The sequence below is a fragment of the Homo sapiens genome, chromosome X (assembly GCF_000001405.40).
Source record: "Homo sapiens chromosome X, GRCh38.p14 Primary Assembly".
NCBI classification, from domain to species: Eukaryota; Metazoa; Chordata; class Mammalia; order Primates; family Hominidae; genus Homo; species Homo sapiens.
In genome coordinates, this window is record NC_000023.11 from 87,673,302 (window position 1) to 87,691,865 (window position 18,564).

Sequence of the window (18,564 nt, forward strand, 5' to 3'; positions counted from 1 at the left end):
TGGGGCAGACGTCTAACCTTCTGGATCCACTGGAGCAAGGGTTCCCACCTTTTAGACTCTCTCGCGTGATGGTCCTGTCCCCACAGCTTTGCTTGGCAAGGGTTTGGTTTCTAAGGCCCAATATTTTATGATACTATTTATATTAATGTTCAGAATAGGAAAATCTATAGAGACTTAAAGTAGATTAATGGTTTGCTAGGGCTGGAGATGAGGGCTGGCAGGAAATAGGAAATGAGTGACTATTTAGGTTTATGGGGTTTCTTTTCATGGTAATGAAAATGTTCTAAACTAAGATTGTGGTTATGGTTACACAACTCTATGAATATAATTTTCAAAACATGGATTCTAAAATTTCAGTGGATGAATATTATGCTGTAGGAATTTATATTTAAGTAAAAATATGAAAAAGTAAAAATTGTACCATGTCTCACATTGCAACCCCAAGGATATTTTTTCTTTTCTTTCTTTATTTTTTGTTGTTGTTGTTGTTGTTTTGTTTTGAAACAGGATCTCACTCTGTCACCCAGGCTGGAGTGCAGTGGTGCAATCGTGGCATCATGGCTCACTGCAGGCTCGACCTCCCAGGCTCAAGAAATCCTTCTGCATCTGCCTCCCAAGCAGCTGGAACTATAGGCGTGGCACCACCATGCCCAGATAATTGTTTTATTTTTATCTTTTGTGGAGATGGGGTCCCACATCTAGACCAGTCCCAGGCTGGTCTAGAACTCTTGGGCTCTGGTAATCCACCCGCCTTAGCCTCCCAAAGTGCTGGGATTACAGGCATGAGCCACTGTGTCTGGCCCAGATGTTCTTTTTCTAATTTTTCTGGGAGTCTTAGGCCAAATCCTTAAATGCTAACTTTTTTTTCTCATTAGCCGGACTTGTTAACTCAGACATCTATGCCAAACATGCTCCAATTTTGTTAGAAGGAAGATACACTTTTTTGCTTTTGCTTGTATAATAGTGTAATGAATTGACATATTATCTGGGGTGTTCTTTATTTCTCTGAATTTATTCTTATCCTGTAACCATCTCTAATCTGGCCCATTATAGCCCTACTCAGGAGTTGTAAGACTAAAATCTTACATCATAAATTCAAAGATCACTAATTATGGTATAAGAAAAAAATATTTAACAGGAGGGTGTGTTAAGTCAGAAGATTTTTCCTGGTTCCCCACTAAGACTGGATAAAGATACCACGGGCTTGGAGGGAAAGACTCTTGGGCAGAAAGTTGATAATAAAGCAAGAAAGACATGAGTGAATGTTGGGTGTGTGGAGACGTTTGCCATGTACCCACTTTCTTCAACTCACTCCTAGGAGCAAATAGAAGCCCCAGATAGGGCTAAGGATCCCAGAAGAGGGAATATGTACACCACCTTCTTTTCAAAGATGATACCTGCAAAGATAGCAAGTTTCAATACCATGAAGTAGTTGTAAATCAGAAATAACTATGTAGTATGTCTAGGTCCAAAAGGGCTGAAGATAACCTGTGTCTGCCATGACCATAAATCGGGTACATAAGTGTTCATGAGTTCATGGATTACTAAAAGAGGCATGGAAACTACCAATGGACCTGCAGGATGGTCTTGTGGAGGTAAAAATTATGTGGCTAATGCAGAGGATATGGAAGGAAACATAAAGTTGGCAAGCAGATGAGGAGGCCTTTACCTTTCTGTAGATGTCATGACAGAAACAGAGCACACTGAATAACCAGATAGAATAGGTTGTTTGTTAAAACAGATAAGACACTATGATTCCACTTTTGTGAATTTTTAAAACTCACCATATGTGTATGTAAAAGTAGAAAACAATTGACTTGAAGGATGCACATTACCCTCATGGTAGTGGTTGGCTCTTTTACAAAAGAAAGACTTAAAAAAGTATGGCAAAATGTTAACACATACATAGTGGTGTAAGTTTTTAATATCTAGTAGTCTATTTTCTGAGGAATAAGTTAGACAAAACCTATAAATCTTAACAGAAAAAAATAACTAAATTTTTTGTCATGAATTGAAAAATCACAAATAAGTAATTGCACGTGTGTAGTAGGTACAATTCTTATTCCATAAAGTCACATTATATTTCTTTATTTTCTAAAAGGTAGATAAATTTCTACTCGGAGTAAATAAAATTATACTCTCAAGTTTCTAGTTTCCCTGTATACAATCCTTAACCATCCCCTCTGAGGTTTAGCCACCTCTGTCATTCCTCTCTGATGGAGCAAATTCAGGTGGCAGTACCTCTGTACCTCTTGTAGTTTGGGATGCAAGGTTGGTTCAACATACACAAATCAATAAATGTGCTTTATCACATAAACAGAACTAAAGACAAAAACCACTTAATTATCTCAATAGATGCAGAAAAAGCTTTTGATAAAAATCGACACTGCTTCATGTTAAAAACTCTCAAAAAAACTAGGTATTTAAAAAACATACCTCAAAATAACAAGAGCCATCTATGAAAAACCCACAGCCAACATCATGCTGAATAGGCAAAAGCTGGAATCATTCCCCTTGAAAACCAGCACAAGATAAGGATGCCCTCTCTCACCACTTCTATTCAACATAGTATATTGGAAGTCCTGTCAAGGGCAATCAGGCAAGAGAAATAAATAAAAGGCATGCAAACAGAATGAGAGGAAGTCAAACTATCCCAGTTTACAAATGACAGGATCCTGTATCTAGAGAACCCCTTAGTCTCAGCTCAAAAGCTTCTTAAGCTGATAAACAACTTCAGCAAGTCTCAGGATACAAAATCAATGTGCAAAAATCGCTAGCATTCCTATACACCAACAACACTAAGCCAAGAGCCAAAGCAGGAATGAACTTCCATTCACAATTGCCAAAAAAAGAGAATAAAGTATGTAGGAATACAGCTAACTAGGAAGGTGAAAGATCTCTACAAGGAGATCTACAAAACACAGCTCAAAGAAATCAAAGATGAAACAAACAAACGGAAAAGCACTCCATGCTCATAGACATGAAAAATCAGTATCATAGAAAAAACTATTTTAAAATTCATATGGAACAAAATAAGAGCCTAAATATTGTTAGGAATAATGCTCAAAATCCTAAGGAAATTGAACACTCGAACAAAGGATTCTTAGCAAAGCAATTTTACTTCTGCGCAAAGGGGTGCCTTCTTGGCCAGTCGCCATGAGAGCACACTTGAACAAGGGGCATGAGAGCCTTTATTCCTGGCGCAAGTCCTGCCCCAGTACACTTTCCCCATTGGCCGGGATTGGGTCTTACAATCTAAACTAATCCCGGTTGGCTAAACATTTGAATGTTTTTAGATAAGGTGGGCACATAAAAGAAAGAGAGAGAAAGGGGAAGGGGTGTCTGTAGTGAGCTAGAAAGTTAGTCTTCTTTCCAAGTAAGGAAAGGAATGTGAGCTGGTACTGATAACGCCTGGTACTGTGGCATGCCTGGGCATCTAATAAAGGCAGAAAGGAAAAAGGAGAAAAAGGGGGGGAAAATAGGGGGGATACCATGAATTAAAAGATTGATCAGGCTATTTGAAGAGAAACCTCATCATATCCCACAAAATCCAAGGTAATTCTAAGCAAAAAGAACAAAGCTGGAGGCATCACACTACCAGACTTCAAACTATACTACTGGGCTACAGTAACCAAAATAGTATGGTAGTGGTACAAAACAGACACATAGACCAATGGAACAGAATAGAGAACCCAGAAATAAGGCTGCACACCTACAACTATCTGATCTTCAACAACCTGACAAACACAAGCAATGGGGAAAAAATTGCCTGTTCAATAAACAGTGCTTGGATAACTGGCTAGCCATATGCAGAAGATTGAAACTAGACCCCTTTCTTACACCATAAACAAAAATTAACTCAAGATGGTTTAAAGACTTAAATGTTTTATTAGTCAGGGTTCTCTAAAGGGACAGAACAAATATGATGTGTGTGTGTATGAAGGGGAGTTTATTAGGAGAACTGACTCACACGATCATAAGGTGAAGTCCCACAATAGGTCACCTGCAGGCTGAGGAGCAAGGAAACCAGTCCAAGTCCCAAAACCTTAAAAGTAAGGAAGCCAACGGTGTGGCCTTCAGTCTGTGGCCAAAGGCCCAAGAGCCCCTGGCAAACCGCTGGTGTTAAGTCCAAGAGTCCAAAGGCTGAAGTACTTGGAGTCTGTTGTTTGAGAGCAGGAAGTATCCAGCACGGGAGAAAGATGAAGACTGGAAGAATCAGCAAGTCTCTTCATTCCACTTTTGTTCTGCCCACTTTATTCTAGCCACTCTGGCAGCTGATTAGATGGTGCCCACCCAGATTGAGGGTGGGTCTGCCTCTCCCAGTCCACTGACTTAAATGTTAATCTCCTTTGGCAACACTATCACAGACACACCCAGGAACAATACTTTGCATTCTTCAGTCCAATCAAGTTGACACTCAGTATTAACCATCACAAATGTAAAATCCAAAACTATAAAAACCCTGGAAGATAACCTAGGTAATACCATTCTGGACATAGGAACAGGCAAATATTTTATGACGAAGACTCTAAAAGCAGTTACAACAAAAACAAAACATGACAAATAGGACCTCATTAAGCTAAAGAGTTATGCACAGAAAAAGAAACCATCAACAGAGTAAAAAGACAAGCTACAGAATGGGAGTAAGTATTCACTAATTATGCATACAACAGAGGTCTTATATCCAGCATCTATTAGGAACTTAAATAAATTTACAAGAAAGAAACAAACAACCCCATTAAAAAGGGGTCAAAGGACATAAACATACATTTTTCAAAAGAAAATATACAGGTAGCCAACAATCATATGAAAAAAGCTCAACATCATTGATCATCAGAGAAATGCAAATCAAAACCACAATGAGATGCCATCTCACATCATTCAGAATGGCTATTATAAAAAGTCAAAAAATAACAGATGCTGGCAAGGTTGCAAAGAAAAAGAAATGCGTATACACTTTTGTTGGGAGTGTAAATTAGTTCAGCCATTGTGGAAAGCAGTGTGACAACTCCTCAAAGGGCTAAGAACTACCGCTTGACACAGCAATCCCATTACTGTGTATATACTCCAAAGAAAAAGAATCGTTCTATTATAAAGACACATACACATGCATGTTCATTGCAGAACTATTCACGATAGCGAAGACGTGGAATCAGCCTAAGTGCCCATCAGTGACAAACTGGATAAAGAAAATGTGGTACATATACCGACGCAGCCATGAAATGAACAAGATCATGTCCTTTTCAGGGACATTAATGGAGCTGGAGGCTATTATCCTTAGCAAACTAATTCAGGAACAGAAAACCAAATACTACATGTTCTCACTTATAAGTAGGAGGTAAACAACAAATCTCCATGACACAAAGTTGATCCATATAACAAACCTGCACATGTACCCCAAACTTAAAACAAAAGTTAAATTTTTAAAAATTGCAATCAAGTTTCTAACACATGAACTTTGTAGGTTACATTCAAACCATAGCATTCCACCCCTGGCTCCCAAAATACATGTCCTTCTCATATACAAAGTATACTCATTCCATCCCAACAAGTCCAAAATACTTTTTAAAAGCACCAACTCAAAAGTCTAAAGTTTCAGAATAATCTCATTTGAATCCATGCCAAGCACCCTGGTCACACTGGGAGTGCTGGGCACTTGAAGCCTTGGGCAGCCCTGCCCTTATTGTTTTTCTGAGCTCGGTCCACCCATAAACTTTCAAAACTTGGAGTCTCATGCCTGCAGCTTTCCCAGGCTGGAGGACTGGAGTTGCACACAGGTGGTGCTACAATTCTGGGGTCTTTGGGATGGCCCATTCCCATGACTTCCCTAGTCCATGATAGTAGGGGCTCTCTGCAGTGGTCTTTGCCCCTGTAACATGTATGCTGCAGAGAGTAAGGGATCTTTGCAGCAACTACACCCCTACGACAAGTCTTTTCCTGGGCCCCCTGACCCCCCAGGCTATCTGCAAAATCCTTTGAAATCTTGGTGGAGATAGCCATGCCCTAACAGCTCTTGCATTCTGCAAGACTGTAGAATTACTATCTAGAATTACAGAGATGCTCTGGGGGAGAAAACAGTATAGTATAGTATGTGCAAGTAATTCAAAGAATCTGGTCTATTAGCCACTAGAAGATGACATTGTAACAATATTTACAGTCATTAGGATAGGCCAAACAAGGCTATGTTTTCTGGTTTTTTGTTTTGAGATGGAGTCTCGCTCTGTCACCCAGGCTGGAGTGCAGTGGCGCAATCTCAGCTGGCTGTAACCTCCATCTCTAGGGTTCAAATGATTCTCCTGCCTCAGCCTCCTGAGTAGCTGGGATTACAGGTGCATGCCACCATGCCCAGCTAATTTTTGTATGTTTAGTAGAGATGGGAGTTTGCCATGTTGGCCAGACTGCTCTTGAACTCCTGACCTCATGTGATCAGGCAGAGCCTTGGCTTCCCAAAGTGTTGGGGCTGCAGGCGTAGGCCAGCACGCCTGGCCCAAGGCTATGTTAATTAAAAAAAAAAAAAAGTTAAAACCTAGCTGGCTTACAATATTAGATATTTACTTCTCACTCATGTAGAGTCGAATGAGTGAGAGGCTGCTAAGGATTACTGCTTGTGTCTTCCAGAGAAGTAGTTTAGCCACACCTGAGCCCATTTAAGACACAGCTTGGGTAGCCAAGGAACACTGTACTGGAATGTAAGGAGCAGAGTCCCAAGGTGGCTCTGGGCAGTGAACCTGTGGAGGATGCTCCAGGCCCATCCTCCCAAACCATTCTTTTGTTCTAGAACTTTGGGCCTGTGATGGGAGGAGAAGCATCAAAGATCTTTGAAATGCCTTTAGGATCTTTCTCCCATTGTTTTGCTAAATAACACCTGGCTTCTTTCTATTCATGTTAATCTCTTTAGCAAAGGGTTTGGTTCCTTGTCCACACCCTGAATATTCTCTTTCAAATATACTTTTTCACTTTTTACTTGACCAGGCTGTGAATTTTCCAAATCTTTCTGCTCTGCTTCCTACTTAATTATAAATGACATCTTTAAGTTATTCCTTTTGTCTCACATCTCACTGTATGTGGTTAAAAGTAGTCACATAGCTGCCTTAATGCTTCACTGCTTATATATTTCTTCTGGCAGATATTCTAGTTCATGGTTACATTTTGTATTCCATAAAGTCCTAGGACATGAATACAATTCAACCAAAGTCTTTGCTACTATATAACAAGGATGGCCTTTACTTTAGTTTCCAATACTTTGTTCCTCATTTTCATATGATACCTCTTTAGAATGGCCTTTATTATCTATATTTCTACCAGATTTCCGGTCAAAATCACTTAAGTAATCTCTAAGAAGTTCCAGACTTTCCCTACACCTCCCCTCTTCTTCTGAACCCTAACTAAAATTGCCTTTAATGCTTCATTCATGGTAATGAGAGGAGGTGCCAGCTGGGCCTCCTGGGTGGAGTAGCGGCTCAGAAAGCTGTGAAACTCACTCATTTCCTGGATCAGGGCTTACTTTGGTCCTGGATGAATACTATTGAAGATATATGCTTAAAATATTCCTAACATCAGAATTTGTGCATGTGTTTTCTTCCCCAAGAAAGCTATAAACAGCGAAACTTTTGCTGTAAGCTTCCCTGTGTCCTCTCTCCCTCTCTCCCTTCCCCATCCCCTGAAACTAAAAGAAATGTTAAAAGCCCGTTTTTCTGTGACCAGCAGACCTTATCTATGCTCCCAATTCCAGTTCCTTGTAACACAATTTGTAAAATCCTGTGAGATCCTGTCTCCTTTGCCATGCCGCTGCAAGGTTATAAAGTAGATAAAACTTAAGTTGCAATTCCGGTTTTCCTCAAGATCTGAGACATGTTAATTGTCTTTGTTTCTCGCTCTGGTAACATCTTCCCACTGCAGGTAGTTCCCGCCTCAAAGAGTTGAAAAGGTGATCGAAAAATCTAACACTGGCTACCCGCTCGGGACCCCTTCCATGCTGTGGGAGCTTTGTACTGTCACTCTGCTCAATAAAACTACAGCTTTTTTCTCTTGGTCCAATCCGTGTCTGTCTCTCACCGCGGGCTGCCGCCACATATCTTTGGCGTGGCTAAGGCAAGAACCTTTGGAGTTATAGTAATACAGATTTTTTCTTGACTACTTCTCCAAATTCTTCCAAAATCTCCCCATTATCCAATTTGAAAGTCACTTCCACATTTTCAGGTATTTGTTATAGCAACAGCCCCACTTTTGAGTACTAATTTTATGTCTTAGTACATTTTCTGCTGCCAGAATAGAATACCAGAGACTAGGTAATTTATAAAGAACAGAAGTTTATTTGGATCACAGTACAGGAGGTAGAGAAGTTCAAAAGCACGGCACCAACATCGGGCAAAGGTCACTGTCAGGCCTCTGAGCCCAAGCCAAGCCATTGCATCCCCTGTGACTGCACATATATGCCCAGATGGCCTGAAGTAACTGAAGAATCACAAAAGAAGTGAATATGCCCTGCCCCACCTTAACTGATGACATTCCACCACAAAAGAAGTGTAAATGGCCGGTCCTTGCCTTAAGTGATGACATTACCTTGTAAAAGTCCTTTTCCTGGCTCATCCTGGCTCAAAAAGCACCCCCACTGAGTACCTTGCGACCCCCACTCCTGCCCGCCAGAGAACAAACCCCCTTTGACTGTAATTTTCCTTTACCTACCCAAATCCTAAAAAACGGCCCCACCCTTATCTCCCTTCGCTGACTCTCTTTTCGGACTCAGCCCACCTGCACCCAGGTGAAATAAAGAGCTTTATTGCTCACACAAAGCCTGTTTGGTGGTCTCTTCACATGGATGCGCATGAAATTTGGTGCCGTGACTCGGATAGGGGGACCTCCCTTGGGAGATAAATCCCCCATCCTCCTGCTCTCTGCTCCATGAGAAAGATCCATCTATGACCTCAGGTCCTCAGACCGACCAGCCCAAGAAACATCTCATCAATTTCAAATCCGGTAAGCGACCTCTTTTTACTCTCTTCTCCTACCTCCCTCACTATCCCTCAAGCTCTTTCTCCTTTCAATCTTGCACCACACTTCAATCTCTCCCTTCTCTTAATTTCAATTCCTTTCATTTTCTGATAGTGACAAAGGAGACACGTTTTATCCATGGACCCGGAACTCTGGCGCCGGTCACGGACTGGGAAGGCAGCCTTCCCTTGGTGTTTAATCATTGCAGGGACGCCTCTCTGATTATACACCCATGTTTCAAGGGTGTCAGACCACACAGGGATGCCTGCCTTGGTCCTTCACCCTTAGCGGCAAGTCCCGCTTTTCTGGGGAAGGGGCAAGTACCCCAACCCCTTCTCTCCTTGTCTCTACCCCTTCTCTGCTTTTCCAGGGACAGGGCGAGTACCCCAACCCCTTCTCTCCTTGTCTCTACCCCTTCTCTGCTTTTCCAGGAACAGGGTGAGTACCCCAACCCCTTCTCTCCTTGTCTCTACCCCTTCTCTGCTTTTCTGGGAGAGGGGCAAGTAACCATCAACCCCTTCTCCTTCACCCTTAGCAGCAAGTCCTGCTTTTCTGGGGGAGGGGCAAGTACCCCAACCTCATATCTCTGTGCCCCAATCCCTTATTTCTGCACCCCAACCTCTTATATCTCTGTGCCCCAATCCCTTATTTCTGCGCCCCAACCTCGTATCTCTGCACTCCAATCCCTTATTTCCATGCCCCAACCTCGTATCTCTGTGCCCCAATCCCTTATTTCCATGCCCCAACCTCTTATCTCTGCACCCCAACCCCTTTTCTGGAAGGTAAGAACCCCCAAACCCCTTCCCTCCATTTCTCTACTCTCTCTTTTCTCTAGGCTTGCTTCCTTCACTATGGGAAACTTCCACCCTCCATTCCTCAGTCTACTCCCTTGGCCTGTGTTCTCAAAAACTTAAAACCTCTTCAACTCACACCTGACCTAAAACCTAAATGCCTTATTTTCTTCTGCAATGCTGCTTGACCCCAATACAAACTCGACAGTAGTTCCAAATAGCCAGAAAATGGCACTTTGAATTTTTCCATCCTGCAAGATCTAAATAATTCTTGTCGTAAAATAGGCAAACGGTCTGAGGTGCCTGATGTCCAGGCATTCTTTTACACATCAGTCCCTTCCTAGTCTCTGTGCCCAGTGCAACTCGTCCCAAATCTTCCTTCTTTCCCTCCCGCCTCTCCCCTCAGTACCAACCCCAAGCGTCGCTGAGTCTTTCTAATCTTCCTTTTCTACAGACCCATCTGACCTCTGCCTTCCTCCCCAGGCTTCTCCTCTCCAGGCCGAGCTAGGTCCCAATTCTTCCTCAGCCTCTGCTCCTCCACCCTATAATCTTTTTATCACCTCCCCTCCTCACACCTTGCCGGCTTACAGTTTCGTTCCCTGACTAGCCCTCCCCAACCTGCCCAGCAATTGACTCTTAAAAAGGTGGCTGGAGCCAAAGGCATAGTCAAGGTTAATGCTCCTTTTTCTTTATCCCAAATCAGAAGCATTTAGGCTCTTTTTTATCAAATATAAAAACCCAGCCCAGTTCATGGCTCGTTCGGCAGCAACCCTGAGACACTTTACAGCCCTAGACCCTAAAAGGTCAAAAGGCCATCTTATTCTCAATATACACTTTATTACCCGATCTGCTCCCGACATTAAATAAAACTCCAAAAATTGGAATCTGGCCCTCAAACCCCACAACAGGATTTAATTAACCTCACCTTCAAGGTGTACAATAACAGAAAAAAGTTGCAATTCCTTGCCTCCACTGTGAGACAAACCCCAGCCACGTCTCCAGCACACAAGAACTTCCAAACGCCTGAACCGCAGCAGCCAGGCCTTCCTCCAGAACCTCCTCCCTCAGGAGCTTGCTACACGTGCCGGAAATCTGGCCACTGGGCCAAGGAATGCCCACAGCCCGGGATTCCTCCTAAGCCGCGTCCCATCTGTGTGGGACCCCAGTGAAAATCGGACTGTTCAACTCACCTGACAGCCACTCCCAGAGCTCCTGGAACTCTGGCCCAGGGCTCTCTGACTGACTCCTTCCCAGATCTTCTCGGCTTAGCGGCTGAAGACTGACACTGCCCGATCACCTCGGAAGCCCCCTAGACCATCACAGACTCCGAGTTTCCGGTAACTCTCACAGTGGAAGGTAAGCCCGTCCCCTTCTTAATCAATACGGAGGCTACCCACTCCACATTACCTTCTTTTCAAGGGCCTGTTTCCCTTGCCTCTATAACTGTTGTGGGTATTGACGGCCAGCCTTCTAAACCTCTTAAAACTCCCCAACTCTGGTGCCAACTTAGACAATACTCTTTTAAGCACTCCTTTTTAGTTATCCCCACCTGCCCAGTTCCCTTATTAGGCTGAGACACTTTAACTAAATCATCTGCTTTCCTGACTATTCCTGGACTACAGCTATATCTCATTGCTGCCCTTCTTCCCAATCCAAAGCCTCCTTTGCATCCTCCTCTTGTATCCCCCAACCTTAACCCACAAGTATAAGATACCTCTACTCCCTCCTTGGCGACCGATCATGCACCCCTTACCATCTCATTAAAACCTAATCACCCTTACCCCACTCAGTGCCAATATCCCATCCCGCAGCACGCTTTAAAAAGATTAAAGCCTGTTATCACTTGCCTGCTACAGCATGGCCTTTTAAAGCCTATAAACTCTCCTTACAATTCCCCCATTTTACCTGTCCTAAAACCAGACAAGCCTTACAAGTTAGTTCAGGATCTGCGCCTTATCAACCAAATTGTTTTGCCTATCCACCCCGTGCTGCCAAACCCATATACTCTCCTATCCTCAATACCTGCCTCTATAACCCATTATTCTGTTCTAGATCTCAAACATGCTTTCTTTACTATTCCTTTGCACCCTTAATCCCAGCCTCTCTTCACTTTCAGTTGGACTGACCCTGACACCCATCAAGCTCAGCAAATTACCTAGGCTGTACTGCTGCAAAGCTTCACAGACAGCCCCCATTACTTCAATCAAGCCCAAATTTCTTCCTCATCTGTTACCTATCTTGGCATAATTCTCATAAAAACACACGTGCTCTCCCTGTCAATCATGTCCGACTGATCTCTCAAACCCCAGCACCTTCTACAAAACAACAACTCCTTTCCTTCCTAGGCATGGTTAGTGCGGTCAGAATTCTTACACAAGAGCCAGGACCACACCCTGTAGCCTTTCTGTCCAAACAACTTGACCTTACTGTTTTAGCCTAGCCCTCATGTCTGCGTGCAGCGGCTGCCACTGCATTAATACCTTTAGAGGCCCTCAAAATCACAAACTATGCTCAACTCACTCTCTACAGTTCTCATAACTTCCAAAATCTATTTTCTTCCTCATACCTGACGCATATACTTTCTGCTTCCTGGCTCCTTCAGCTATACTCACTCTTCGTTGAGTCTCCCACAATTACCGTTGTTCCTGGCCCAGACTTCAATCCGGCCTCCCACATTATTCCTGATACCACACCTGACCCCCATGACTGTATCTCTCTGATCCACCTGACATTCACCCCATTTCCCCAAATTTCCTTCTTTCCTGTTCCTCACCCTGATCACGCTTGATTTATTGATGGCGGTTCCACCAGGCCTAATCACCACACACCAACAAAGGCAGGTTATGCTGTAGTACAAGCCACTAGCCCGCCTCTTAGAACCTCTCATTTCCTTTCCATCATGGAAATCTATCCTCAAGGAAATAACTTCTCAGTGTTCCATCTGCTATTCTACTACTCCTCAGGGATTATTCAGGCCCCCTCCCTTCCCTACACATCAAGCTCCAGGATTTGCCCCACCCAGGACTGGCAAATTAGCTTTACTCAACATGCCCTGAGTCAGATAACTAAAATACCTCTTAGTCTAGGTAGATACTTTCACTGGATAGGTAGAGGCCTTTCCTACAGGGTCTGAGAAGGCCACCACAGTCATTTCTTCCCTTCTGTCAGACATAATTCCTCAGTTTAGCCTTCCCACCTCAATACAGTCTGATAACAGACGAGCCTTTATTAGTCAAATCAGCCAAGCAGTTTTTCAGGCTCTTAGTATTCAGGGAAACCTTTATATCCCTTACGGTCCTCCATCTTCAAGAAAAGTAGAATGGACTAAAGGTCTCTTAAAAACACACCTCACCAAGCTCAGCCACCAACTTAAAAGGACTGGACAATACTTTTACCACTTTCCCTTCTCAGAATTCAGGCCTGTCCTCGGAATGCTACAGGGTACAGCCCATTTAAGCTCCTGTATAGACGCTCCTTTTTATTAGGCCCCAGTCTCATTCCAGACACCAGACCAACTTAGACTGTGTCCCCAAAAAAACTTGTCATCCCTACTATCTTCTGTCTAGTCATACTCCTATTCACCGTTCTCAACTACTCATACATGCCCTGCTCTTGTTTACACTGCCGGTTTACACTGTTTTTCCAAAACATCACAGCTGATATCTCCTGGTGCTATCCCCAGACTGCCGCTCTTAACTCTTGAAGTAAATAAATAATCTTTGCTGGCAGGACTATGCTGAATCTGCTTAAGCACTCTCTAATCAGATATCCTGAGTCGTCCCAATTCTTAGACATTTTATACCTGTTTTTCTCCTTTTGTTATTCCATTTAGTTTTTCAATTCATACAAAACTGTATCCAGGCCATCACCAATCATTCTATATGACAAATGATTCTTCTAACATCCCCACAATATCACCCCTTACCACAAGACCTCCCTTCAGCTTAATCTCTCCCACTCTAGGTTCCCACACTGCCCCTAATCCCGCTTGAAGCAGCCCTGAGAAACATCGCCCATTCTCTCTCCATACCACCCCCCAAAAATTTTCGCCGCCCCAACACTTCAACACTGTTTTGTTTTATTTTTCTTATTAATATAAGAAGGCAGGAATGTCAGGCCTCTGAGCCCAAGCCAAGCCATCGCATCCCCTGTGACTTGCACGTATATGCCCAGATGGCCTGAAGTAACTGAAGAATCACAAAAGAAGTGAATATGCCCTGCCCCACCTTAACTGATGACATTCCACCACAAAAGAAGTGTAAATGGCCAGTCCGTGCCTTAAGTGATGACATTACCTTGTGAAAGTCCTTTTCCTGGCTCATCCTGGCTCAAAAAGCACCCCCACTGAGCACCTTGCGACCCCCACTCCTGCCCGCCAGAGAACAAACCCCCTTTGACTGTAATTTTCCTTTACCTACCCAAATCCTATAAAACGGCCCCACCCTTATCTCCCTTCGCTGACTCTCTTTTCGGACTCAGCCCGCCTGCACCAAGGTGAAATAAACAGCCATGTTGCTCAAACAAAGCCTGTTTGGTGGTCTCTTCACATGGACGTGCATGAAAGTCACCACATAGGGGAAAGGTGGAAAGTGGAAGTGAGCTCATGAGACGAGAGAGAAAATCTGGCTGAACTCATCTTTTTTTATTAGGAACTCACTCCCACAGTAATTAACTGACTCCCAAGATAAAGACATTTATCCATTCCCCTCATGGCCTAATCATCCCTTAAAAGCATCACTTCTTAATATTGTTACAATAGCAATTCAGCTTCCAACACATGAATTCTAGGGAACATATTCACAATATAGTAGAACCAGTCACGTGACAACCATCAATAACTGGAAAGAAGCAAGATAGAATGGTCTTCTTATTAGTTTGGGAAACAAATGAGAACTAGGTATGAGTAAGCACTAGGGCTTTCTACAGTTCTCCAGTGGTCTGTAAGTCAACATATTTTAAATTGTTATTATGTGTCAACATTGAAGCCCACATACAAAAATAAATCAATGTAATACACTATATTACATAAACAGATAAAACACATAATGATTTCAGTAGATTCAGAGAAAGAATTTGACAGAATTCAACATAGTTTTATATGATTAAAAGCACTGGATGAAACAGAAACAGAAGGCCTATGTAAGCCAATTTAAATTTTATTGGATATCATCCCTAATGATGAATGAAACATAACATTTCATATCACACAGTTGCGTAATAATAGAGGTAAAAAAGTACTGGCAGGACAAAAAGATTTTAATCAAGAGATTTTGAGAGATGCTTCAGTGATGAAATGAAACAAATTTAAAAAGAGAACAACTTTGGTATATAATTAGAAGTCAGAAATCTAAATATCAGATTTAATACTGTCAGGCCTCTGAGCCCAAGCCTGCAGGTATACATCCAGATGGCCCTAAGCAAGTGAAGAATCACAAAAGAAGTGAAAATGGCCAGTTCCTGCCTTAACTGATGACATTATCTTGTGAAATTCCTTCTCCTGGCTCAGAAGCTCCCCCGCTGAGCACCTTGTAACCCCCACCCCTGCCAGCAAGAGAACAAACCCCTTTGACTGTAATTTTCCACTACCCACCCAAATCCTATAAAACGGCCCCACCCCTATCTCCCTTCGCTGACTCTCTTTTCGGACTCAGCCTGCCTGCAGCCAGGTGATTAAAAAGCTTTATTGCTCACAGAAAGCCTGTTTCGTGGTCTTTTCACACGGACGCGCATGAAAAATACTGTACGTTTATTATCTAGGCATGTTTGAATCTCTGGAATGTTGGGTAAAAAGTGTTCACTAAAATGAGCCCCTTTCAAAGTCACACGCATTAAATGAGACAATGTAAGGATATTCAGTGTTAGAAAAGCAGCACTGATGGATGAAGCTGGAAACCATCATTCTGAGCAAACTATCTCAAGGACAGAAAACCAAACACCGCATGTTCTCACTCATAGGTGGGAACTGAACAATGAGAACACTTGGACACAGGGTGGGGAACATCACACACCGGGGCCTGTCGTGGGGTTGGGGGAGTGGGGGGGGATAGCATTAGGAGATATGCCTAATGTAAATGATGAGCTAACGGGTGCAGCACACCAACATGGCACATGTATACATATGTAACAAACCTGCACGTGGTGCACATGTACCCTAGAACTTAAAGTATAATAATTAAAAAAAAATTGCTAAAAAAAAAAAAAGAAAAGAAAAGCAACACTCTTTTGGCTGGGCACGGTGGCTCATGCCTGTAATCCCAGCACTTTGGGAAGCCAAGGGGGCTGGATCACTTGAGGTCAGGAGTTCGAGACCAGCCTGGCCAAAAAGTACAATAATTAGCCGGGCATGGTGGCAGGCGCCTGTAATCCCAGCTACTTTGGAGGCTGAGGCAGGAGAATTACTTGAACCTGGGAGGCGAAGGTTGCGGTGAGCCAAGATTATGCCACTGCACTTCAACTTGGGTGACAGACCAAGACTGCATCTCCAAAAAAAGAAAAAAAGAAAAAGAAAAAAAAGCAGCACTCTTTTGGTCATATCAGCTTCTCATCACTTGCTTTTTGTTTTGTGTTTCATGGAAACAGTCATGCTTATTTATTGGTGTATTACAATGGCAGAATTGAGTAGTTGCAACAGAGATTGTGGTCCATAAAGCATAAAATATTTACTGTTTGGTTTCTTACAGAAAAAACAGTTTGCCGATATCTGTGGTAGGTTTTAGAAGTAATTTTTTAAAAATTATCCTTTACCCCTTCTTTACTGCATGATAAGATGATCCCAGAAGAATCCACTGTTACGGTTCTCCTGTACTGTTAAAAAAAAAAAGTCATTTTTTGAATATGGAGTCATTTTCCCACTGCTTATTTTTGCCAGCCTTGTCAAAGATCAGATGGTTGTAGGTGTGGCAGCATTATTTCTAGATTTTCTACTCTGTTTCATTATTCTGTGTGTTTGTTTTGCACAAGTGCAATGCTGTTTTGGTTACTGTAGTCTTATAGTTTGAAGTTAGGTAGTGTGATATCTCCAGCCTTATTCTTTTTGCTTAGGATTGCTTTAGCTATTCAGGCTGTTTTTGGTCTCAAATGAATTTTAGAACAGTTTTTTTTCTAACTCTGTGAAGAATAATGTTGGTAGTTGGAAAGGAATAACATTGAATCTGTACATTGCTTTGGGCAGTATGGCCATATTTACGATATTGATTCTTCCAATCCACGAGCATGGAATGTTTTTCCATATATATGTTTTATGTCTGATTTCTTTTTTTCTTTTCTTTTTTTTTTTTGAGATGGAGTCTTGCTCTGTCGCCCAGGCTGGAGTGCAGTGGCGCGATCTCAGCTCACTGCAAGCTCCGCCTCCCAGGTTCACACCATTCTCCTGCCTCAGCCTCCCGAGTAGCTGGGACTACAGGTGCCTGCCACCACGCCCGGCTAATTTTTTTGTATTATTAGTAGAGACGAGGTTTCACCGAGGTTTCACCGTGTTAGCCGGGATGGTCTGGGTCTCCTGACCTCGTGATCCGCCCAACTCGGCCTCCCAAACTGCTGGGATTACAGGCATGAGACACCGCGCCCGGCTGTTGTCTGATTTTTTTCAGCAGTGTTTTGTAGTTCTTTTTGTAGAGATCTTTCATCTCCTTGGTTAGCTGTATGACTAGTTATTTCATATTCTTCGTGGCTATTGTAAGTGGGATTGTGTTTTTAATTTTTCTCTCACCCTGGACATTGTTCATATATAGAAATGCTACTGATTTTTGTACATTGATTTTGTATCCAAAAATTTTATGAAAGTAGTTTATCAGTTCTAGGAGGCTTTTAGCAGAGTCTTTCTGATTTTCTAGGTATAAAATCATATTATCAGTGAAGAGAGATAGTTTGGCTTCTTCTTTTTCTGTTTGTCTGGCTTTTATTTCTTTCTGTTGCCCAAATGCTCTGGCTAGGACTTTCAGTATTATGTTGAATAGGAGTGGTGAAAGTGGGCATCCTTGTCTTGTTCAAGTTCTCAAAGGGAATAGTTCCAGCTTTTGCCCATTCATTATGATGTTGGCTGGGGGTTTGTCACAGATGGCTATTATTATTTTGAGGTATGTTCCTTCTGTGCCTAGTCTGTTGAGGATTTTTATAGTGATGGTGCTGGAATAACTGGCTAGCCATATGTAGAAGATTGAAGCTGGACCCCTACTGTCAGCCCTCTGAGACCAAGCTAAGCCATCATAACCCCTATGACCTGCATGTATACATCCAGATGGCCTGGAGCAACTGAAGAACCACAAAAGATGACATTCCACCATTGTGATTTGTTCCCGCCCCACCCCAACTAATCAATCGACCTTGTGATGTTCCTCCCCTGGACCATGAGTCTCATGATCTCCCCACCCTGCGCCTTGTGACTCCCGCCCCTGCCCACAAGAGAACAACCCCCGTTAACTGTAATTTTCCACTACCTACCCAAATCCTATAAAACTGCCTCACTCCTATCTCCCTTTGCTGACTCTCTTTTCAGACTCAGCCCACTTGTACCCAAGTGAAATAAACAGCCTTGTTGCTCACACAAAGCAACAAGTCTCTTCACACAAAGCAACAAGTCTCTTCACATGGTCTCTTCACATGGACACACGTGACACCTACGTGTCATCATATACAAAAATTAACTCACAATGGATTATACATTTAAAAGTAAGACCTCAAACTACAAAAAATCTAGAAGACACAACATGGAAATTACTCTTCTCAACATTGGCCTTGGCAAATAATTGTTGGCAAAATCTCCAAAAAATATTGCAACACAAAG

General features: G+C 42.6%; 2 annotated features.

Annotated features, from left to right (window-relative positions):
- Positions 6,448 to 6,995: an enhancer, noted in NCBI's record as "OCT4-NANOG-H3K27ac hESC enhancer chrX:86934749-86935296 (GRCh37/hg19 assembly coordinates)". NCBI's record gives its function as "activates a minimal SCP1, AML or CMV promoter by ChIP-STARR-seq in naive and primed H9 embryonic stem cells {active_cell/tissue: H9 hESC(naive and primed)}" and the evidence as "EXISTENCE:reporter gene assay evidence [ECO:0000049][PMID:30033119]".
- Positions 13,628 to 14,159: an enhancer, noted in NCBI's record as "OCT4-NANOG-H3K27ac hESC enhancer chrX:86941929-86942460 (GRCh37/hg19 assembly coordinates)". NCBI's record gives its function as "activates a minimal SCP1, AML or CMV promoter by ChIP-STARR-seq in primed H9 embryonic stem cells {active_cell/tissue: H9 hESC(primed)}" and the evidence as "EXISTENCE:reporter gene assay evidence [ECO:0000049][PMID:30033119]".